Below are 24,313 nucleotides of genomic sequence, written 5' to 3'. Positions count from 1 at the left end.
AATTTTATTCTATAACTTTGAAAAAGAATACATTATTTTAAATAATGTCTTATAGTACTTGTGTGTTTTGTAGAAAAATAAATAATTTTTAACAACAAAAATAATTTTCTGGCAAGGTTTATTTTAAGTATCTATGATGCCAACTTATTTCCACTGACTTTGTGACATGTAATATTAGGTTTCTGAATAGCTAGAGTTTGTTATTTCTCTAATAATTTAAGTATCATTATAAATTGTTAATTCCACATTGCAGTAGATGTCCAGAAAGTGAAATTTTAAAAAATATGATTTCATGATTTCTTCTTTCTTCAGACAATAGAAGTGAGTTCTTCTGAATTTTTTATAACACCTCTAAGATTTAGCTTGTTGCTCACTTTTTCTTACTTGAAGAATAACCAATAGTTTCTGATTTAAAATGTGGTCTGAGAAAAGGCAAACAGAAGTAGCTTAAAATGCAATATTTATTTCATTTGTTCATTCAAGTGTTACAAAATAGCATTTCCCATTTAAATTATGTATTTTTTAAATGTGAAGGTCTCACATTTGAAAATTTCATCAAAGCATGGTTTCCATGGAAACCAAGAAATACCTGAACTAAGGAAGGAATCTAAGAGGATTCTTGAGTGATAAGATATTAATCAATATATTTTTAAGTATTTTATGTTTAATTTATTAATTATTTCTGCTATTTTCTTTTCTTTAGAATGTTTTAATTCAAGAATCAGAAACTTTCAGAAAGAATCTTGAAGAATCTTTACATGATAAGGTATAATGGAAACTTATGTTTTGGGCCCATTTTCTATTTTTATTTTCTATTCCACTGATGAATGTTTTGTTGTAAAATAAATTTGAAAAAATAATTTTAGTATGCTATCTTTGTAAAACAATTTTAACTTTTTAGAATATGTGCAGAAAAGCGTACATAGAGAGGAAGAGCTTCATGAATCTTTGTAACCCAAATTCACCAAAAATTAGCACTTCAGAAACTCCCCCCAAATTAGTCTATACTCATACTCTTCCATTAAAGGATAATCACTATCTTGACTTATAACATTAAAAAATGGTTTTGCCTTGCTTTATGCCTTATATAAATAGAATTAAAATATATGCGCTAATTTATGTCAGTTTTAGATATTCTTTCAGCAGAAATACATTAAATACTATTATAAATAGAATTATGCTAAGTTATATATGTCCAAACATAATCCTAGTTCCAAAGGAGCTAAAAAAATCTAACTGAGGAGAGAGAACACAGCCCTTACAAACCAATGAGGATGCAGGGTAGCAGATGCCAAATGCCAAATTAGTGAAGTAGGCAGTAAGAGCTACAGGTAGGAAAGACCATGATATATTGCTGCTGTGAAGAAGACTTCAGGAAGGAGGGACTTGACTGAAGATTTAAGGGAAAGTAGGACTCTGACCCCAGGCTTTCAAACATAGTGCATGTGGCATGATCACAGGTGCTTGGTGGGGTGAGGGGATGGGTAATGAGTGTGACATTTTAAATAATAGGCACAACTATTTGGCTGGAATCAATTATTCCTGTTGTAGGGTATGTGGTAGAAGAGGAAACTAAGGGCAGATTGTGAAATTTTAATGGTAATTGCTAATAGTATTTTCCTTCTTCATTAGCCTTTAAAGTTATTGTTAGCAATTTTATCTTATTTTTTTAAAGAAGAAAGGATTGCTAACTTAAGAAGTGATCTATAACTGTATGTTGAGAAAAGATAGAAGAAATGGAGAGAGAGAAGGAAGGGAAAAAGAGAATGAAGGAAAGAAGGGAGAGGGGGAAGAAAGAAGGGAGGGAAGGGAAGGGAAGGAAAGGGAAGAGGGAGGGAGGGAAGGAAGGAAGGAAGGAAGGAAGGAAGGAAGGAAGGAAGGAAGGAAGGGAGGGAGGGAGGGAGGGAGGGATAGTATGGGATATAGAAGGTATTGGAAAAGATGAAGAATAGAGGAAAGAGAACAATTATACATTTAACCCTACTGGATGCTGCATATTATGAAGCAATTAAAAATAACTAATTCTACAGTCAAGGTGTCCACAATCTCCTGAAAGATAGGTCTTTAGAACAATGTAATGTGGGGCCTAGAATATAGTATCTGATTCTTTCTGAGGTAGTTCACAAAAACAACACAGAGATTACATTTTTAGTAGCCTCTTAAAGACATATATGATCTTCATAAAGGTAGAGCATTCTAAGTAGAGGATGAATCCTCTGCAACGGCACAAAGAAAATCAAGATGATTGATTTGATGAATCATCAGAAGTTTACTGTGACTGGTATGTATTTAAAGAAGTAGTTTTTGAGCAGATTGTGAATTTTGGACGTGATGCTGTTATGCATGTTATGTTATCCAAAGCTCTGTGTGCTCCTGGCAATATCCCCAGAACCCACTCCCCCACCACCTACCAAAGCCTTGTAACTCCAACAATCTGCCTAAGCAACCAAGAGTACTAATCATGCCATGCTTTGCATCCTTGCTTATGTCAGTCTCCAGAGAGAGTAAATCCCAGATCATATCTCATGTCTGAACTATCATCCCATTTAGATGGGCACATTCACTAATCTGACCACATCTTCTATAATTCCTCAAATTTCCACTAAACTAACTGTACTCACAGTCCATTATCAGCAAAACCCTCTGTAGGCTCAAACTCTTTTCTCAGTGTTTCCCTTTCCATCTTTATCTCTACAATTTGAAGTTTCTAGGTAGCTTTCCTTTCTTCTCTCTGATTCACCCCTAGTGACTTCATCTGATCTCCTGGATTTAAACACCATCTATAAATTGAGCACATCCAAATTTAGATTACCTACTGGGTCCTCTTCCCTGAGAGAGTTTATATATTCTATTGCCAACTCAATATCTCCATTTGGACACCTAGGTACCTCAAATGTAACATGCCAGTCTATTCTCACCCCACTCCCACACATCAAACACCACCACCATCTAACCTAACACACCAGCAGTCTTCTCAGTCAATCATAATTACAATTTCTTTCTTTCTTTCAGTTACTCAGGCTAAAAAACTTGGACTTAGTCTTGACCCCTATGTTTGTTTCATATCCCACATCTAGTCCAATATCAAATCCTCTTATTTCTACTCTCACGATATAGCCAAAATATAGCCACTCTTACCCTAACACCATTCTTGTCCAAACCATTACTCTCTTGCCTCAAAATTTCCTCTCTTTTCTGACTCCCAATTCAACTTGACAATCTATTTCACAGCCATTAGAATGATCATGCCACTTCTCTGCTAGAAAATCCAGGAAACATAGCAAGACCCCATCTTTACAAAAATAAAAATTAAAAACAAATTAGCCAGGTGCAGTGGTGCACACCTGTAGTCCTCCTAACTACTTGGAAGGCAGAGGCAAGAGGATTACTTGAGCCCTGGAGTTCAAGACTGCAATGAACTGTGATCACAGAACTGCACTCCAGTTTCAGTGGCAAAGTGAGACCCTGTCTTTAAATAAATAAATACATAAATAAAATAATTTTTTAAAATCCTTCAATTGTTGCCTATCTCATGCAGAGTAAAAGCCAGAGTTTGAAGTGGTTTACAACCTCTTTTAGGACTACCATTCCTGAGTTCTGCAATCATACTTTTAAAAAGTATCCTCTATTTGTCAATTTAACCTCTGCAATCCAGCCACACTGGACTCCTTACCCTCTACTCCATTTCCACTAAGAGGCGTATGCACGTGTTGTTGCTTTTATCTGCCATGCCTTTTCCTAAGAGTCTCATTTTTTAATTTCTCCTTTATTTAGGTCATTGTCCAAGTATCACTTTATTGAAAAACCCTTCCATGACTCCCCTGTTTTCTCCTTTCTAACAACATGCTATATTTCTATATTACTACTTGTTTATTATTCATCTTTTCTACTAAATTCTAAATTGCATGAGGGCAAGACATTTGTCAGCTCACTACTGTATCTCAGGTGCCTGACACACAAGAGGTACTCAGCGCACTTTTGTGAAAATAATGAACAAAGATATTTACAAATCAATAAGAAACTATTGAACATTTTAAAGCAACACATTAGTTTATTGTACATGTGTTTTGAAATTATATGTCTAGCAGAGAAATGTGTAGGAAAGAGACTGAAGCTGGTAAAAATCATTCAGGAAAAAGATAAAAAGGGCTTAGAGTAGGATGGTAGTGACGTAGTGAGAATAAAAAGAACAGAAAAGAGAAACATTGCAAAGGCCACATTAACAAAAAAAAATGTGGTGAGAAAAGTTTGAGTAAAGTAAAATATCAAGCACTGGCCACTGGGAAGGGGAAAAACAGTAATAGAAAAATCTAGAATGATACATTTAGACCTGTAAAACAATATAACAGTTATAATCATTAAAACCAAATTGAATGCTTACATGAGCAGTTAATTAAAGCTCTAAGACAACCCCTATCTTCATAAATTTATAGACCAGAAAATGCCAATTTGAGAAAATTATAATTAAGTACAAATAATGGTGACAATATCAAGCTAATTGGTTATTAACTTTACTTTTTAAGGTGCACTCCAGCCTCAGTGACAGAGTGAGGCCCTGTCTTTAAATAAATAAATAAATTAATTAATTAATTAATATTTTTTAAAAAAATCCTCCAATTGTTGCCTATCTCATGCAGAGTAAAAGCCAGAGGGTTTACTTTCCTTTTTCTTTCAATCCAATCATCTTTTTCCTTCACCCATATGTCCTTTAACCCTCATAGAATAATGAAAGTTCTTCATTTACTGCATAAATAAGACATTTTCTTTATTTTCAAAACTGCATATGATTTCTACTCTGCATTTTTAAGTGACATCTACATAGCTAGTCATAATTTTAATATTCCCACGAATTTTCAAATATTCAGGATTAGTGAATGCCAGAGATTGTAGATAAATTTTTATTAATTTCTGCTATCCACATTTTTTATTACAAGGGGAAAATTTTGGCGTGCTTTATTATTATGTGTAATAACCTTTAATAAAAATATATCCTCAGTTTTTCCTTTTTAAAAAAAATCATTAAGACTCATTTATCATAATTGCTTGCTGATATTACTGGCATCTGAGTAACACTGTTTTGATTTTTTAGGAAAGATTAGCAGAAGAAATTGAAAAGCTGAGATCTGAACTTGACCAATTGAAAATGAGAACTGGCTCTTTAATTGAACCCACAATACCAAGGTAACATTAAACTAAAAGCTTATCTATAATTCACTGAAAATCAACATGAATTCCCTTATGGTTTCATATGTCCTCAACTAAAATAAATCAGTACTTCCTATTGCTCACTAGTCATTATCATGTTTTGACTCTTCACTGATTTGCAGTTTTTACATTCAAAAATAACTTTTTAACTTAGAGATTATTTCTGTAGATAATCAATAAAAAATTAAAATGTTAACTTTTGTATTCTGCATTTCATTATATATATAAATATATTAAAAGATTCTTAATTGAAGAAATTGAACTGTGTACAGGGAGATTGCATCTCATTCAAGAAGAGGCGTCAGCCCTTCTCTTTATATGTGTTCAATACAGAAATTGAATTCGACATAAAATTTTCTATATGTGTTCAGTGTAGAAACATGCAGAAATATGTTCAATGCTTATGTGACTAAACAAATATTATTGATTATGGTCACTTAGCATCTACCTATTTCGGTAAAGTAATTGCAAAAAAAAAAAAGAGGAAAAGAGAAATGAATCAGATAAAAGAAAAGAAAACAAAAACTTCAAATAAATTTAGCCATACTCATCTACTTTGATTCACTATCTCATCTTAAGAAAAAGAAGCAATGGATGGCAGCTTACTTGATAGATCATAGATAGATAGATAGATAGATAGATAGATAGATAGATAGATAGATACATAGATACATAGATAGATACATAGATAGATCTATATGTTAATAATTCACACATAATTTCCTTTTGTGTTTGAGATGTTTTATTTAAAGTTGTTAGAAACCCTAGAAGGACACACTCATTTAGTCACTTATTTACTAGGCAACACAGAATAATAGCAGCCGTTTGAAACTTTCCACTACCATAGGCTTTTAGTAGAAGTTCATCTTTCTTGGTGTTATGTTCATCTTTAGAAAGTTAACTCCACCAGAGGATGGGTTTGTATTTGTTTTGATAACTACCATAATCTCAACACCTAAAAAACTATCTTGCATATAGTATGCTCTCAAGATATATTATAGAATGAATAAATGAATATCTGGTAAAGCATTTTTCAGATTCTCAAATAAAAATTCAAATTGAAAAAATCCTGAAGTGTCTTAAATTCTTTTCAATATAAATGTAAGGAAAAACAATATTTGATATTTTAAGTACTTCCATACTCAATTGAATATGAGAAAAAGTTCGGCAGGCATAAAAACACTCAAAGAACTTTTACATATGTAAGTCATTAATTGAGAAAATCGTTCTTATTTTTCACATTTTTAAGATTCTGATTTTTACATGTGAACTGAAATTATTATTTCAATGTTATGTGTTCACATGGTTATGATGATTATAATGAGGATGGTGGAGAAGGAGAAGGAGAAGAACTGGTAAAATATCAGGGGAGTCAATGCATAGAATAAGCATTATCAAATCAATAGATTAAATATATTTGATTAAGAATAAATGGCCATTTCCTTGTTTTTTTGACCTTATGTCTCAAAATACAGAGTTTCAAAGTGTTGTCTAAAAGTCTATCACTGCACTGAGTCATTATGGGCAGCCTAACAATGTGACATTTATCTACAATGAAGGATGATTTGGCCTATATAGAACAATTATTCTTTGATCAACAGATTGTAGTGGAAGGAACCCTAGACCAAGAATAAGACAATCCACATTCCTAGGACTCACAGATAATTACAAGCTGCTTCATTTTGGAAACCTGTTTTCCTTAATAACATTCTAAATAAATACATATTTGTACCTAAATATGCATAAATGATATTTTTCTGATTATATCACAGGCTTGGTTTGCAGATAAAATAAGACAAGCAGTAGGGATTATATGTATAGTAAATCATATCACAAGTATAAAGTATTATAGAAATAATTAAGGTAAGCTAGCTAAACAGAACTTATTATAATAAGTTACAGGATAACTGAATATTTATTAAACAACAATTATTTATAGAACATTCATGCTTCTGAGGACAAGTAATTTCGTAAAAACAATAATGGAAATAGGAGGTGCATGAGAACTCAGTCTACTAAGTTTTGATCTAATAGGTGGAGAGGTGAGGAGAGATAAGCTAAGGTGAGTGAATATCAGTGACCACTCTTCTCTCTTAATATCTCATCTAAGAAGAAAGTAAAATGAGTTCCAGAGTGACTACAAAGGGCTTGATTTGGCTCAACTCTGAAAAAAGATAGACTCTGGGTAATTGGAAAGGACAACAGAGAACACTCCAGGAAGCAGAGCGATGGGTAATAGGTTTTCTCTAAAAAAATTCTTACCTGGCTTATTTATGCAAGTTCTTTAATGAGATTACATGCAAGAGTCACAGGAGATTCAGGAGGAGAAGCTACAGGGTTCATTGCTTAAAGGAACTGATGCCTATTTTGTGACTTACTTAGACCTTCCAAAAGCCTTTCAAAATACTGAACACCTAGAATGATTTAAAAATTGAACTAGTATGATAATATTGCCTCTGTTTTCTCCTGTTAGAGAACTAGCTCAGAGAACTGGAAAAAAGAGGAGAGAGATGAGTTTGAGGACTGGTACAATAAAAAAGAATACTAGGAGCTAGAAGGGTAGATGGCAATAGCACTTTTAAACTGAGACCTTAAAACTGTTAACCACATGTGTTGAGACTGTTTTCAGGAGAACACAAACAAACAAACAAAAACAAAAGCATGTTCAAAGAAATGAAAAGAAAGTGTGAGTTACTGGAATTGAAAGAAGGTCAGTACAGCTGTATGAAAAGCTAGGCAGAGAGTACCTTAAAATGAAACTGGAAAGTGGCAAAGGCCCAAGTTATAGAGGGCCTTTAAGGACATTGAATAATTTTAAGCAGGAAATTGATATGATTAGATCTGTGTTTTGCTTTTTTTTAAAATAAATTATCTGGAGCTGTGAAATAAATCAACAAGAAAACAATGCTCCTAGGATGATGAGTTATAATGTTAGAAACTTCACCCTGATGCCTAAAGGGACATTAAGGTAAGCAGCCACAGGAAAAAGGAACCCAGACTGATCACAACAAGACAGTTTAAGCCTGTCTTATAATCATTTCTTTTATTTATCATCTTGCCAGATATTTATGAAGTGCTTATTATATGCTAGGAACGCCTTCCTGGACATAGGAAGGTGACTAAAATCTGATCTTTGTTCTTCATGAAACTTAGAGCCTCTGCCCAAGAGATAAAGACAGAGTTGTGTCCTTTATGAATATGGCCTAGTTGTTTTTTTTTTTAAATGTAACTTATCCATGATAAAACCTGTTTACTTGATTAAGTCTCAAATACATTGCTACAAAAACAATAGCTGTCACCTATTTGATGGAAAATGTTTTAGTTCATTTGTTCTAATGCCCCATTTGGCAAAACAAGAACTTTCTTAAGTTAGTGTCTTCTGCTGTTGCAAACACCCAAACCTCACCTCCCCTTTTTAATGTTACCAGATATTTGGAAGTGCTTGTCTTTGTTCACAAGAATAACTGAAAAAGAGAGTATAGTCAATCAGCAGGAGCCTCAAATTCAATAGAACTAACAGCTTTAAGTATATTTCCTACTGATGATAGATCTGTTATTTCATTTTATAGGACAGCATTATGTCACTGTTATTATCATCATTATTGTAACAATAAAATGAATTTGCTATAAATCTACATATAAGTAATATGCCTGGAGAAGCCTTTTCTGCACTTTGATTATAGGGTACTTTATTACCATGTTTATTGAAAACTAGTGTAATGATACTTTCCAACTAAAATTTTCCGACTCTTTCATCTTTAAGCAGATTTAAGAATCAAATGTGCTTATGAAAAGATTTTTCTTCATCCTTTTGAAACAATGTCTTATTAAAAACTTAAAAAATCCTTTTGGTAGTATATCCTATTTTCTTTTATAAAAATAAGACCATAAGCCTTGGGTCCATCTAAATTTAAGCATTTTGTTGATTCTCTAAATTGAAAAATAGAATGTGAAAAATAGACAATGTGAATAAATTTCTCCAAAAATTTTAAGATTGGAAAAGTTCTGGGACCCTCAAATTTCAGACATTTTTAGCTAGATGTATAAGAAATATTTAAAACAAATACAGTAATCAATAGCACATACTGTGATATACACAAAAGAGCTCAAACTAAATTGCCAGAATTTAACCTAATGGATTTTGATTATCAGTCTTATTATGATTCATTTTACTACTGCATTTGAAAATGATAATAAACAGAAAGGTTATAAGCACTGTATATTCTAAAAGAAGAAAGTGCACTTGACTTTCAGGAATGGACCTAAGACTGCAGCTTCTGACATAAGTCTCTAAAGAGGCCTCAGAGAGTCATGACAATTTATCGGTTATCTTTCTTGAGGTTTATTTCCTTGAGGATTTCTGCTTTATTGCCAGTAAAACAGCAGATAGTAATTTCCTGGTAAGTTTAATTTTTGAGATTGGATTATTTTATATTTTTCCTTTTTTCCAGAACTCATCTAGACACCTCAGCTGAGTTGCGGTACTCAGTGGGATCCCTAGTGGACAGCCAGTCTGATTACAGAACAACTAAAGTAATAAGAAGACCAAGGAGAGGCCGCATGGGTGTGCGAAGAGATGAGCCAAAGGTTAATCTTTTAACTTCAACTCTTCTCTAGTTTTATTTAAATACATAGTTTCATTTTTGATAGAATTTTAACACTGAGATAATTAGAAAATGCTAGCATTTTTATTAATTTGAAACACAGAGTATGACATTTTTAAAAAAACTATAAGTAACATAAAGCCCCTACTATGGGCCCAAAGTTGAATAAGCATTTCCCATGTATTTATTCATATAACATTATGAAGTGGGTACTACTTGTATACTAAGTTCAGACATAAAAACACTGAGGCTCAGAAAAGCTAAATGTTCAACATTGCACAGGTAGCAAAGTAATGGAGTCAAAACTTGGGCCTATGTTTGTGTAGTTTCCAGTACTATTAGTAGTGTAATATTAACTATTATGCTACATTGCCAAACATGTAGTCTTTTGATTTTCTTGGGCACTTGAGCAATGGCATTCATGTTGTTCATTCAAATTAACTTAATTAAAATTGGTATTTTAAAAACACTTTGAAGAAAATGTACATAGACTATTCCTTGTGTTCATAAAGAACTATTAATGATAAGGGGCAGTGCTAGCCTTCCATTCAGTCAGTAACTTAATTTAAAATTTGCAAGCTGTTTGTTGAATAATGTAGTTGTATTTTACAGAGAAGTAAAATAGTCCTTTGGTGCCTAAGCATAGTTTATTCTTTCAACCACTTTTATTCACCCCAAATACTATATAATCCATTTGTCCATATTTGTACACAGGCCCTTGATGACTTTTGGGTTTGAACTGGCACCAGTATGCCATGTATTAATTAATCCATCATAGTAGGCATTCAATATCTGTTGAATACATGAATAAATAAATGAGCAAATGAAGACTAAATTAAGTTAATCTCAATTCTTTTCTCATTATTATGTGACAAATTAATTAGTGCTACTTGATACCAAAACAAATTGTAACACAAATACTAATTCTGGTTCTCAATTCTTAACTCAATGCTCAGGGAAGTATCATGTGGTCTTCCATAGAAATCATTTTATATGATCACAAAAATAAAAACCAATTTTTTAAGAAGCAGAATAAAAGAGATCTAGGATCTGTCTTTTATGCTCAGCCTCCTCATACATTCAGATAACAGCTTGAAAAACACTGGTCAATTGCTTACTTCAAATGGAAGATTTCTTGTATCCATTTAAAAAACATAACCATGTAAATTAGCATGCCTTGGGCTTAAAAATTACAGGTATACCTTGTTTTACTGTGCTTTGCTTTATTGTATTTCACAAGCATTATGTTTGTTTGTTTGTCAGTTTTTTACAAATTGAAGGTTCCTGATAACCTTGCCTCAAGCAAGTCTATGGATGCTAGTTTTTCAATGCATGTGCTCATTTCCTATATCTGTCTCATATTTTGGCAATTTTCACAATATTTCTTTTTTTTTATTTTTTTGAGACAGGGTATTATTCTGTCACCCAGGCTGGAGTGCAGTGGCACGATCATGGCTCATTGCAGCCTTGAATTCCTGAGCTCAAGCAATCCTCCCATCTCAGCCTCCCAAGTAGCTGGGACCACAAGCGGGCACCACTATGCCCAGCTAATTTTTGTATTTTTTGTAGTGATGGGATTTCACCATCTTGCCCAGGTTGATCTCAAACTCCTGTGCTCAAGTGATCTGCCCACCTCAGCCTCCCAAAGTGCTGGGATTATAAGCGTGAACCACTGCACCTACCAGTTCTCGAAATATTTCAAACTTTTATTATTATTATTATATCTGTTATGGTGATCTGTGAACAGTGATCTTTGATGTCACTATTGTAATCATTTGGGTACACCATGAACCATGCCAATATAAGATAGTGAAGTTAATCTATATGTTGTGTGTGCTTCTGCTCCAACAGCCATTTCCCACTGCTTTCCCTTTCTTTGGGCCTTTGTATTCCCCAAGACACAACAATATTGAAAGTAGATCAATTAATAACCCTACAATAGCCTTAAGTGTTCAAGTGAAAGTAAGAGTTGCACATCTCTCACTAAGTCAAAAGCTAGCAACAATTAAAGTTAGTGAGAAAGACATGTCAAAAGCTGAGTTAAGCCAAAAGCTAGGCCTCTGGCATCAAACAGCCAAGTTGTGACTACAAAGGAAAAGTTCCTGAAGGAAAATAAGAAACAACACGCAAGTAAGAAAACAAAACAGCCTTACTGCTGCTATGGAGAACGTTTTAGTGGTCTACGTAAATTTGATCATTTAGTGATAAACAATCAAAGCATGGACAACATTCCCTTAAACCAAAGCATAACCCAGAGCAAGACCATAACTCTCCTCATTTATATGAAGACTGAGAGAGGTGAGGAAGCTGCAGAAGAAAACTTTGAAGCTAGCAGAGGGTTGTTCAGTTCATAAAGTTTAAGGAAGGAAGCCATCTTCACAACATAAAAGTGCAAGGTGAAGCAACAAGGGCTGATGGAGAAGCTGTTAAAAGTTATTCAGAAGATCTAGCTACGATAATTCATGAGGATGACTACACTAAACGATGGGTTTTCAATGTAGATGAAACCACCTTCCATTGGAAGAAGATGCCAGCTAGGACTTTCATATATAGAGAAGAAAAGTAAATGACTGGCTTCAAAGACTCAGAGGACAGGGGTGAATGAATGCAGCTAGTGACTGTAAGCTGAAGCCAATGCTCATTCACTATGCTGAAAATCCTAGGGTCTTCAAGAATTCTGCTAAATCTACTCTACCTGTGCTCTATGAATGCAACAACAAAGCCTAGATGACAGCACATTTGTTTACAGCATGGTTTACTGAATATTTTAAACACAGATTTGAGACTTACTGCTCAGAAAAAAATACTCCTTTCAAAATATTACTACTTATTAACAATGCACCTGGCCACCCAAGAGCTCTGACAGAGATGCTCAAAGAGATTGTTTTTTTCGTGCCTGCTAACACAACATTCATTCTGTAGCCCGTGGATAAAGCAGTAATTTTGGCTTTCAAGTATTATAACTTAAGAAATACATTTCACAGGGCTATAACTGCCATAGGTAGTGACTCCTCTGATGGATTGGGGCAAAGCCAATTGAAAACATTCTGGAAACGATTCATCATTCTAGGCGCCATTAAGAACATTTATGACTCATGGGAGAAGGTCAAAACATCAACCTTGATCAGGTTCAATGGCTCACACCTGTAATCCCAGCACTTTGAGAGGCTGAGGCAGGTGATCACCTGAAGTCAGGAGCTCGAGACCAGCCTGGCCAACATGGTGAAATCTCATCTCTACTAAAAGTACAAAAATTAGCTGGGTGTGGTTGTGCACCTCTGCATTCCTAGCTACTCTGAAGGCTGAGGCATGAGAATAGCTTGAGCTCGGGTGGCAGAGGTTGCAGTGAGCCGAGATCAAGCCGCTGCCCTCCAGCCTGGGCAACAGAGCAAGACTCCCTCTCAAAAAAAAAAAATCAACCTTAATAAGAGTTAAGAAGACATTGATTTTAACCCTCATGGATGACTTTGAAGGGCTCAATACTTCTGTGGAGGAAATAACTGCAAATGTGGTGAAAATAACAAGAGAACTAGAATTAGAAGTAGAGCCTGAAAACGAAACCAAATTGCTGCAATCTCATGATAAAACTTGAACAGATGAGGATTTACTTTTTATGAATGAACAGAAAGTGGTTTCTTGAGATGGAATCTACTCCCAGTGAAGATGGTAACTACTCTTGGTGAACATTGTTAAAATGACAACAAAGGATATAAAATATTAGATTACACAGTTGATAAGACAGTTTCAGGGTGTGAGAGGATTGATTCCGATTTTGAAAGAAGTTCTACTCTGGGTTAAATGCTATCAAACTGCATTCCATGCTACAGAGAAATCTTTCATGAAAGAAAGAGTCAATCAATGTGGCAAATTTCATTGTTGTCTTATGTTTAAAAATTGTCACAGCCACCCAACCTTCAGTAACCATTACCCTTATCAGTCAGCAGCCATCAGCATCAAGGCAAGACCTTCCACCAGCAAAAAGATTAAAACTCACTGAAGGCTCAGATGATCATTAGCATTTTTTAGCTATAAAGTATTTTTAATGAAGGTATGTTCATTTTTTAGACACAGTGCAATTATACACTTAATAGACTTCAGTAGAGAATGGGCATAACTTTCATATTCATTGGGAAACCAATAAATTTGTGTGACTCTAATGTCATATTCACTTTATCAGGGTGGGCTGGAACTAACCCTGAAATCTCTGTGGAGTATACCTGTACATCATTTTGCAATATTTTAAATAATATTTTGTTAGAATCGATGTAAATAAATGTTGGGAAGAGAATTCCTGTGTAATTTCTTATGTGATAATATTTGTGGTCTGAGCTTATAATAAGAAAATATAGGAAGACTAATTAGTTTAAGTCGTGAGTGCTTGAGTACAAATAAATAGATTGTTATATTTGGAAATAAGGAAAAGTATTACAAATACATGCTTTAAAGTAATTGTTACCTTGGAATATGATTGAACTATAAAACATATAGAAGTTTATCATCTTTATTTCTACTAAAATCTTGATATTTATACTGACAATCCCTCACATTACTTAAGATGTCAAGGAACTATTTTATGGAAGCAAATAAATTAAAATGTTAATAATTGGTTCAGTTTTTGCAAGGTCAGTTGTAAAAGCATGCCTGTTGTTGTTGCTGTCTTTGAGATTAATGCTTTGAAAATGAGCAATATGATAAATATTCTGCATTTTTTCATTCACCATTCAGGTGAAATCTCTTGGGGATCACGAGTGGAATAGAACTCAACAGATTGGAGTACTAAGCAGCCACCCTTTTGAAAGTGACACTGAAATGTCTGATATTGATGATGATGACAGAGAAACAATTTTTAGCTCAATGGATCTTCTCTCTCCAAGTGGTCATTCCGATGCCCAGACGCTAGCCATGATGCTTCAGGAACAATTGGATGCCATCAACAAAGAAATCAGGTAACTTCAATTAGTACTGATGATTTCAAGAAATTAGAAGACCTTGATACTGTACTAAAAATGTAATTACTAGATCAGAAGCATTAGCATTAACTGGGAGCTTAATAGATCTGCAGAATCTCAGACCTCACCCCGTACACACTGAATCAGAATGTGTATTTTCAGAAGATTCCCAGGATATTGTATATCTCCTTTATAATATTAGGACAGCCTTTGTAAGGAACATACATGAAACATATAAGATTAATGACATCAGTGACAGTACAGAAGAATAAGTTAAAGGCAAAACTTTCTCCAGTGAATTTTAAAGCACTTTTTAAATTAAAATTTACTACTTAAAGGGAAAGTGTGTGTGGTAATCACGTACATTCTTCAGATACATTACATACTGCAATAAAGGTACCAAATAGTATGCAAATTAATGTGCATTCAGATTCCTTAAAATATTTCAACATTGGAGTGAAATTAATTTACCATTCTTTTTGTCAATTTTATGCCATTTATATCAGGGACAGCGTGTTTCTTGGAAGTTTATTAACATTAACAGTTTTAGAGGCTGGAAGGTCCAAGATGAAGGTATCAGCAGGGTTCAGTTTTTGGTAAAGGCTCTCTTCCTGGCTCCAGGGAAAGGGAAAGTGAGGCAGGCAGTGGGAGGCAGAAAGACAGTGGGGGGAGAGAGAGAGATAGAACATTAATATATTAATTCTATAGAATTAAGCCTCTCTCTCTCTCTCTCTCTCTGTCTGCCCCCCACTGCCCACCCACCTTTCCCTTTTCCTGGAGCCAGGAACAGAGAGCCTTTACCAAAAACAGAATCCTGCTGGAACCTTGATCTTGAACTTGTCAGAAGAGCAAATTAATTTCACTCCAATTTTTAAATACTTTTAAGGGATCTGAGAGCCTTTACTAAAGAAAGATTTATGGAAGACCTCATGTAACCTCAATTACCTCCTCCAGATCCTATTTTCAAATACAGTCACTTTGGCCTTTACAGCTTCGGCCTATGAATTGAAGGTGGGAGATAAAATTCAGTTCATAGCAAAGCAAATGCAGAAAGCAGGATAGAGTCCTCTTCTCTGCCTGGAACACTTGAGAAAAAATAAAAGTTAATGCCTTTAAATGGGATAAACCAAACATATTACTACTATTCTTAATAATAAAAATTACATTTCTGTATTAACATATTGCATGAAAATTCAGATTTTTTTTTATTTAAATAGGGTCTCACACTGCTACCCAGGCTAGTGTGCCATAACTCAGATCTGGCTCACTGCAGCCCACAACCTCCCAGTCTCAAGCAATTCTCCCACCTCAGCCTTCCAAGTAGCTGGGACTATAGGCATGTGCCACCATGCCTGTCTTTTTTTTTTTTTTTTTTTTAATTTTTTGTAGAGACATAGTCTCCCTTGCCCAGGGTGGTCTTGAACTCCTGGGCTCTAATGATCCTCCTGCCTTGGCCTCCCAAAATACTGAAATTACAAGTGTGAGCTACCACACCCAGCCTCAGATTGTTAATCTTAGTGCTTGTGGCTGTTTAATTGTGTTCACTGGTGCCTAAAACTTGCGTTTGAAGTTGGGCTGCTACCATATCTTAAACTGAGACACAATTCTTATAGAGTTTTTTATGATTAATATTCTTACATCAGTGAAAATACATTTTTCACATATTAATGCTGAAGTTTATAACAAATCAGGCTGATCATTAAAAATCCCCTAGCATTTTGGGGACATATGTGCGAACATTTTCTAAGTAAATGGGGACCAAATTCATTTGCATTCTTTAAATATAAAAGGCTTACTATATCTGTGAGACATAATTTAATATTATAGCCTAACAAATATCTTTATTATATTTTCATTTCAAAGGCAATAAAACATATGGTGATATGAACTATTTCATACTAGTTATGAAAAAAATGTACTGTTGCTATATAGTACCCTAATAATAGATGGTTTTCATTACAATTGAAATTGGACAAATTAACATTTCAAATATTGAGAAATGTTGGCACTCTGATACTTTTATTTTAATTTAATATATGGTTTCTTGAATTCCAATGACATCAGCTTTTTCTGTCATTTCCTTGACTAACCCCAGTGATGAACCCAATTGTGTCAGGTAGATTTGTGTTCTTCTGAATATCAACAAACCATTCTTAACTTGTTTTTTCAATGGGTGAACAGGTTTTAAGTCTTTTGAACAATGCCTTTCTTTTTTCTTTCTGGGTCTAGCTAAATCAGTTGGCTTCCTTCTACTATTATTCAAATTACCTATCATCACCCTACTGCACTTTAGAATAGTTTTTTACCTTATGACAATAACCATTACTATCTGGTTTCTTTGTAGTATGCTAGTTCTCCATATACCAACCTAACTACAGCCAGAGAAGACTTTTAAACACACAAATGTGTTTATGTAATCCCCCTTTTTCTAACCATTCAATTGTTCTTAGGATACCAACCACACTTTTTAATATGGTCTACAATACCTCACCTGTCTCACCATTCTCTAACCATTTACCTTGCCTACTTTCTAGTTCCTTGATGTTCCATGCTCTTTCTTTTGTTGTGTCATCCCTTTCTTCTGGAACATTCCTGTCATTCCACACCCTTCTACCCTAACATTTCACTCATGTTACCCTTACTCACCATGGACAGCTCCTCCATCACTTCTTCAAGGAACGTAGTACTGTCCTTCAGTTCTTTACCTTCACTAGATTGTAACTTTTATACAGGAGCAAGAAATGTATCTGGCTTTGCTCACCTTTATTTGCAGGTCTTAGCACTTCGCTTGATATTTAGAGAGTGCTTCATAAATATTTGATTACTCTAAATAGAAAAATAATGTAAAACAAGTATTAACGGAATAACGGAATAACACTTTCTGAGGCTGTTCAGCTAATGGTCGAATTTACCAAATTAAGTTTGAAATCAAGTCTATATTCTTGTGATATTTATTTGCACCAAAGAGATCAACACACCCTCCATAACAAGCTATTTCTCTTCAGTGACTCTTAGCTTTGTAACATTAGGGTAGTAATTTCTAGTAACAATCTTGGCCAGTAGGTTAATATAGTTGTTTATTTGTAAGATTTTAAAAATACATGAAATGAGATTATATCACATTTAAAAGAAATAGTCATCTTGATTCAAACCAGGTGAACTGCTAATAACAACCAGAATTTTTCTGTGATTAAGATTTTTCTTCTTTCATAAACTAATCTAGCCATTAAAAAATGCATGTTTTCTGTCTTCACAGCTCGCTGATTCAAATTACTTCAAACTCATTTGCCACAGCAATGTTCATTCATCTGTGCTTTTATAGTTAGCTACTATTGTCTGTTAAATTAAACTTCAATATACTCTCTTACCCAACTTGTTCCTCTAGGTTTGGCTGTCTTGTACAATTTATAGAATACCTAAAGTTAATAACCAAAATTTCTGTGTACAGCATAACCATGTTACATCTCACCAGAAAAAAATTTCTAGGAGTCATTTTTCTACTAAGTATTTTAAAAGTACAAAATGTCTTCTTTTTTTTACATTTTTATTTTTTGAGGGTGAAGATAGTTTTTTCTTTCAAATGTGTGTTAAGCTATGTTACTATGTACTATGTTACTTGATTAAACCTTTCTTTGGAGTTCTGACCTTGGGGTGAAGTTAAAAAATGCATTCATGAAAATAAACTTTGAGAGTAACAGAATTCATGTTCTTTTTCTAAGTGAAAGATTATAATTAAGTGTAAATGTGCCTCATAATGTTTTAACCAAAATGAACCTTTGTGAAACATATTTGATTAGATTTTAAGTCCATACTTTGTAAGATTTTTAAACAGCCTATTAAAATCACAAAGATCACTTATTCCAATGACATGTAAGTAGACTACCAAAGTACTTTCTGCCTGGCCAGCAAACACATACTACTTAAAAACTGAAAGATTTGCAGAATAGTTAGTGAAGACACCAGCAGTGAGTTAATAATCAAAGAGCTGGTGAACATATAAAAACAGGTGAGTAAATGTAGCTCAACTTCCCATAGTAAACGTACACCAGAGAAGTATTTCCTATTGAATAAATTTAGCGAATAAATTTAGCAAATAAATTACATTCTCCATTCTAAATATGTAAAAAGAAAACTTTGAAGTGATCATAAACTTGAAGGTACAGGTTCTATATAAGAGGGGATCCCAATAAACCATTTGTAATCAAGAACAAAATAGCTCAGGAGAATTTTACGACCCCCTTATCAAACTATACTGGTACACAGTTTCATTATAACAACATACAAAATGTGTATAGATTTAATTCAGGATTCAAATAGGATTTTTACACAACCTAGCTAAAGCTCTTTCCTATTTGTGCCTTTGTAATAAATAATTTATATAATTTTTTTTCTCACTCTGCCACCCAGGCTGGAGTGCAGTGGCGCTATCTCGGCTCACTGCAAACTCTGCCTCCCGGGTTCAAGCGATTCTCCTGCTTCAGCCTCCCGAGTAGCTGGGATTACAGGCATGCACCACCATGCCTGGCTGATTTTTGTATTTTTAGTAGAGACGGGGTTTCACCATATTGGCCAGGCTGGTCTCGAACTCCTGACCTCATGATCCACCCATCTCGGCCTCCCAAAGTGCTGGGATTACAGGCGTGAGCCACCACTCCTGGCCTAGTTTTATTTGCAAGTTACTTTTTCATTATTTATGTATTCATCATCTATCTATATAACTATATTTTCACATTATTACCTTTTCTGGTACTTATTTAAAGGAGGCTTGGCTAAGTATTAATATTAAGAAAAGACTCAGGGTTTTATTTGGCTAATTATGAATGACCATTTACTGAGGATACTATCATTTAAACTTTTTCATTAGGTAGGAGGTAAGATTCAATGACTTTGAATCTTAAGAGGGATATTTACATGTAATTATAATCTTTCACTTTTTCTAAGCTATTGCTAGTCCTTTGCCATCTCAAGGCTGAGTTTCTAAAGTCTCTTTTAGTGGTTCCTGAGGTCAAATGTAAGATTAGGATTAATGGTAGAAATTAATTAGGTTCAAGATTTTTAAATAGTTTTAGCAGGTGGTAGTATACAAAGAAGGTAAAACTGGAAGTTGTCAGGAAAAAATGTATCATTTGAAAACAATTTTCTAAACTGCAGCCAGGAAGTCCCTGGAATTTACTGCAAGTTACACTATTTAGAGAAAAAAAAAAGATGAAAAAATTAGATTTGATGTAAAATGTTCAAGAATAGTTTCTACTGATTTATTATGTGAATTCCAATGATCCTTACAGCAGCATATAATGGATCCATATTAAATTATATATGGATCATAATTAAACTGTATCTTTCAGGCTAATTCAGGAAGAAAAAGAATCTACAGAGTTGCGTGCTGAAGAAATTGAAAATAGAGTGGCTAGTGTGAGCCTCGAAGGCCTGAATTTGGCAAGGGTCCACCCAGGTACCTCCATTACTGCCTCTGTTACAGCTTCATCGCTGGCCAGTTCATCTCCCCCCAGTGGACACTCAACTCCAAAGCTCACCCCTCGAAGCCCTGCCAGGGAAATGGATCGGATGGGAGTCATGACACTGGTATGGTGATGTGTCCAGAGAACCTTTGCCTCCTGTTAAGATTAATGATGCTTTAGCTAAAACTTAACTGGGTGTTTGTTCTAGTCTAAGTACTTTCTGTGTATTTTATTGTTTATTTATTTTCTTATTCACAACATCCCTATGTGATCAGTACATTTATGAATCCCATTATGAGATGAAGAAATGGTAACCCACACAGGTGCTGTAACTTTCTAAGGGTCAAATAGTAAGTCAATGGTAGAGCAGAGATCTAAATAGCACATTATAAATGTCAATGAATTTCTGGGCATAGTGGCTCACAGCTATAATCCTAGCGCTTTTGGAGGCTGAGGCAGGAGGATTACCTAGAGGCAAGGATTTCAAGACTAGCCTAAGAAACATAGCAAGACCGCATCTCAAAAAAAAAGAAAAGAAAAAGAGAAAAAGAAAAAAATTAGCTGGGTGTGGTGGTGGTCTGTACCTGTAGTCACTGCTACTTAGGATACTGAGGCAGCAGGATTCCTTGAGCCTAGGAATTTGAGACTGCAGTGAGCTATCATGGCAACACTGCACTCCAGCCTGGGCAACAGAGTGAGATTCCTTCTTGAAAAAAATAAAATAAAATAATTTTTTTTTAAAAATTGAATGACTTAAACCATTAAGTACATTTTTATTGATGGCATACGGAGGAAATCACTTTGGACTCTGTGTGTGTGTGTTTTTAACATAATAAGTAACAAAACTTAGTATTATAATTGCTTCAATACACCAAGATAGAGTTTTATAACTTTTCAATATATAACATAAATTTCTTGCATTATTTGTGTTAAGAGCCATAAAAAACAACAGCTACTAATTCCTAATTTTGTTTTAGATTTTATATTCACATTTTCACATGTATACATTAATTCCTTATTTCATTTATCTTTATATTTGGGATTAGAAGATGGAAGCCTAAATTAGGAAGTCTCCTGAATGCAACTGAGAAAAAGTCAAATTTCCCCATTCTAAAAAATTTTATTATAAAAATATATTAATATGTAATATATGTATTTCATTATAAAATATATTTCATTATATATATTTATATATAATAAAACCTCTGGAAAATATGATTGTGATGACTGCTGAATACCATGATGTTAGTCATTTAATTCTCGTGGCAAAACTGGAGGTAGTAGGGCATTATCTCAACAGAGAGTGGAGGTTTTGAGAGTATAAATGGAGTGCCCATATTCAACACAGCTAATAAATGGAGCTGGATTTTTCCACAAATTTGCCTAATTTAAAAGCATGTACTACCATGTCTTTCTGTTTCAGTCATTACCTAGAAATATAGTATGTTGAAATGACACCAATGATGAAGATTAAAACATTCTGAACTGTTTATGGAGGTAAAATTATGTTTTTGTAGTGAATATGCATTGGCATACTTACAATTTTGAGGCTTCCAAGCCATAAAACTTATGTAAAAGAAAAATTGTGAATTTTTTTTAAAAAGAAGACAGTTACCTCTTTAAGCTGCTGAGTCCACTATTTTCTGCTCATTTCCAAAACTTCCTACTAAAAATGTTTTTTAAATAGAATAGACAATGGCCAACCAGAAAAAATGCCCAGCTAATCAGAACTGATTCCACTTGGATACAGTACAAACTTTTAGCCAATGTGCTGAGATATACTAACCAAACATACGGAACTACATTGTGATCTGCTTATTTTAGAAATTTAGGAACCATTCATCTGATTTTGTTAGTTAAAAGTGTTATTGTCTCTTGCTTAGTTTCTGCCTATATAAGATATGCTACATAGTATTAATGAGCAACTTAGTACCAAACCTATAGTAAGAATCCTGGACCACAGAATAAAATTTAGTCAGCATTCAAGGCAGGAATACTTTGATTATTTTTGTATTGCTTTTATTTCTGACATTTTTACAACACAGTTTTACACTTTTAAGTCTTTTTATAAACATAAGCATCATAACTCTTGATAGTGCTATTACTTTCATAGCAATAAAATATTTATAATCCTTTAGATGTGATTGTGTGTGTGTGTGAGAGACAGAGAGAGAGAGAAAGATGCCAGTGCTTTCATGAATTCTCTTGAACAATTAGTAATAAATAAATCAGTGGAATATGAATATTATTACATTATAATTAGAGTACTGAAAAAAAAGGCATTTTTAGAAGAGTAAAGAAATATTTAAAGTGTTTAATATCTAAGTCAGAGAAGCAAGAAATGAAATCCAGGAAGTCCTTAACACCTAATATAATTCTGTCATCAATTGTATATTTTTAATAAAATATGGGTAATTTTTTTTAACCTGAAGAAAATGCTTTTGGCATTTGTGGGAAAGAGAAAGATTTTAGGATGCCAAAAATTTTGAGATCCCACAGGAACAGCACATCTGCCCAAAGGAGGCCCAAAGCTCTGCATAGATGGGGCAAAAACAAGAATTTATAAACTCCTTGTATATGCATTGGATCTTCACTCCCAATAATATTTTCTTGAAAAGATGCAGTCTCGTTTATTTCTAGCTAGCTCACTCTTCTAGCTAGACTCACTCACTCATTCCACAGTTTCTCTTTCCCAGGGTCCATGCCTCGTATCCAGTGCCTGTACACATGGCCCCATTATGGAAACAATCATCTGACTTATGTTACCTGAGAAGTTCCCTCTCTAAATTTAACTACCAGGCGGAGTGCTTTTATAGTAATTAAAATATGTTTATTTAGAAAATAACAAAATGAAGAAAAAAATGATAGTCAAGTTGTAGACACTATTTAAAATTGTAACTTGGTCAAATGATTGTTAATTCTTAATTAATTGTGTTTTATGTTTTTATTACTGCCAATCACAGCCAAGTGATCTGAGGAAACATCGGAGAAAGGTACAGTAAATAACTTTTACATCATTACGAATTGAATACTGTTTTATTCTATGAAAGCTTTAAAATAATATTCCCTCTAGTCGAATGTTGATAAAACATTAAAAAGTTGAGAGTATTTAAAGTGTATTGAATTGTTTAAATTTGATTATAATAGAAAATACTTCAAAGATAAAATTGTTTATGATTTCTGGAGCAATAATTAGATTATAAGAACCATAATATCCTGTTTTCCATTGAATATTTAAACCAAGGATGGTGTAATTTTATATTTTAATATAAGTATTTATATTTATTAATATAATATAGTACAAATGTTTTAATATTTAATATATAATAAATAATGCTCGTTGTTTTCAAATATTTTATTATTATTATTTTGATAGGGTGAGGACAACAGATTGGGAGAAAGCTGTCAAAAAAAGATAGCTTGTTACTCACAGTTCCCAAGAGGAGAGAGTACTCTGTGCCTCAGGACAGCACCAGCGTCAGTCAGGAGGCAGAAGGAGCAGGGCAGAAGGTTTTCTGAGGTATCTTAGGGAAAGGCAAGACAAGGCAGGATAAGCAGGTTAGGATGGATAGCCTGATTAATTTTGTCTGGCCTCAGGATGTAGGGACTCTCTCTAGTTGTCTCAGCCTGGCCCACAGGTGATTAGGGCAGAGGAATATTGCCTCTTGGAGAGTAAGAGCCAGATGGAGAAGATGATTTAGAGTATGGGCTGTGAGTTGTTTGGTTTGCATGTGAAAGGTGTACTTATAGGTGAGTGATGTGCTATTTCCAGGAATTAACTATCCCTAGGGTTAGAGGAGCATCCTCTCCAGATGCCAGAGCATCAAGACTATGCAAAATAAAAAAATATGTTCGAAACACCGCTTTTCTGTTTGGAATGAAATCAAGAGAATAAATATGGAATATGGAAAACAAAATGAACTGAAGTTCTGATTCACAAAATGACATCTTATTAGATAATTGAGTAGAGCTTTCACTCATGGGACATCAGATGAAAAAGATTTCAAAGATTCAAACTTCTATTCAGTGCAAAAATCTATTCCTCAGCATCTTCGAGATGTGGTAGTCAGCTTACACCCAAACATTGGAACACTCC

At 34.0% G+C, this 24,313-nt stretch overlaps 1 protein-coding gene and 1 long non-coding RNA gene across 52 annotated transcripts in view; one reads left to right on the top strand and one right to left on the bottom strand.

The window, feature by feature from the left end:
- PPFIA2 (PPFI scaffold protein A2) overlaps positions 1 to 24,313 on the top strand; it is a 501,376-nt gene that overhangs the window by 391,477 nt on the left and 85,586 nt on the right. For 50 of the 51 annotated variants that reach the window (XM_024449242.2, XM_017020107.3, XM_024449240.2 and 47 more), the window contains 6 exons: positions 704 to 766; positions 5,090 to 5,181; positions 9,657 to 9,792; positions 14,535 to 14,755; positions 20,104 to 20,341; positions 23,181 to 23,210. In XM_024449242.2, the coding sequence (XP_024305010.1) occupies positions 704 to 766; positions 5,090 to 5,181; positions 9,657 to 9,792; positions 14,535 to 14,755; positions 20,104 to 20,341; positions 23,181 to 23,210 (780 nt within the window). The remainder of the gene's footprint in view (positions 1 to 703; positions 767 to 5,089; positions 5,182 to 9,656; positions 9,793 to 14,534; positions 14,756 to 20,103; positions 20,342 to 23,180; positions 23,211 to 24,313) is intronic. The other variant, NM_001220480.3, reaches the window with a different exon arrangement.
- On the bottom strand, positions 14,638 to 23,796 carry LOC105369872 (uncharacterized). Its single transcript, XR_945148.3, has 4 exons — positions 23,649 to 23,796; positions 17,520 to 17,584; positions 15,704 to 15,843; positions 14,638 to 14,717 (listed from the first exon to the last, which is right to left on the bottom strand). It is a non-coding gene; the product is annotated as an uncharacterized LOC105369872 (long non-coding RNA).

Source organism: Homo sapiens, chromosome 12 (assembly GCF_000001405.40).
Source record: "Homo sapiens chromosome 12, GRCh38.p14 Primary Assembly".
Lineage (NCBI taxonomy): Eukaryota > Metazoa > Chordata > Mammalia > Primates > Hominidae > Homo > Homo sapiens.
Note: the sequence above shows the minus strand (reverse complement) of the source record. Positions and strands in the feature narration are given on the sequence as shown.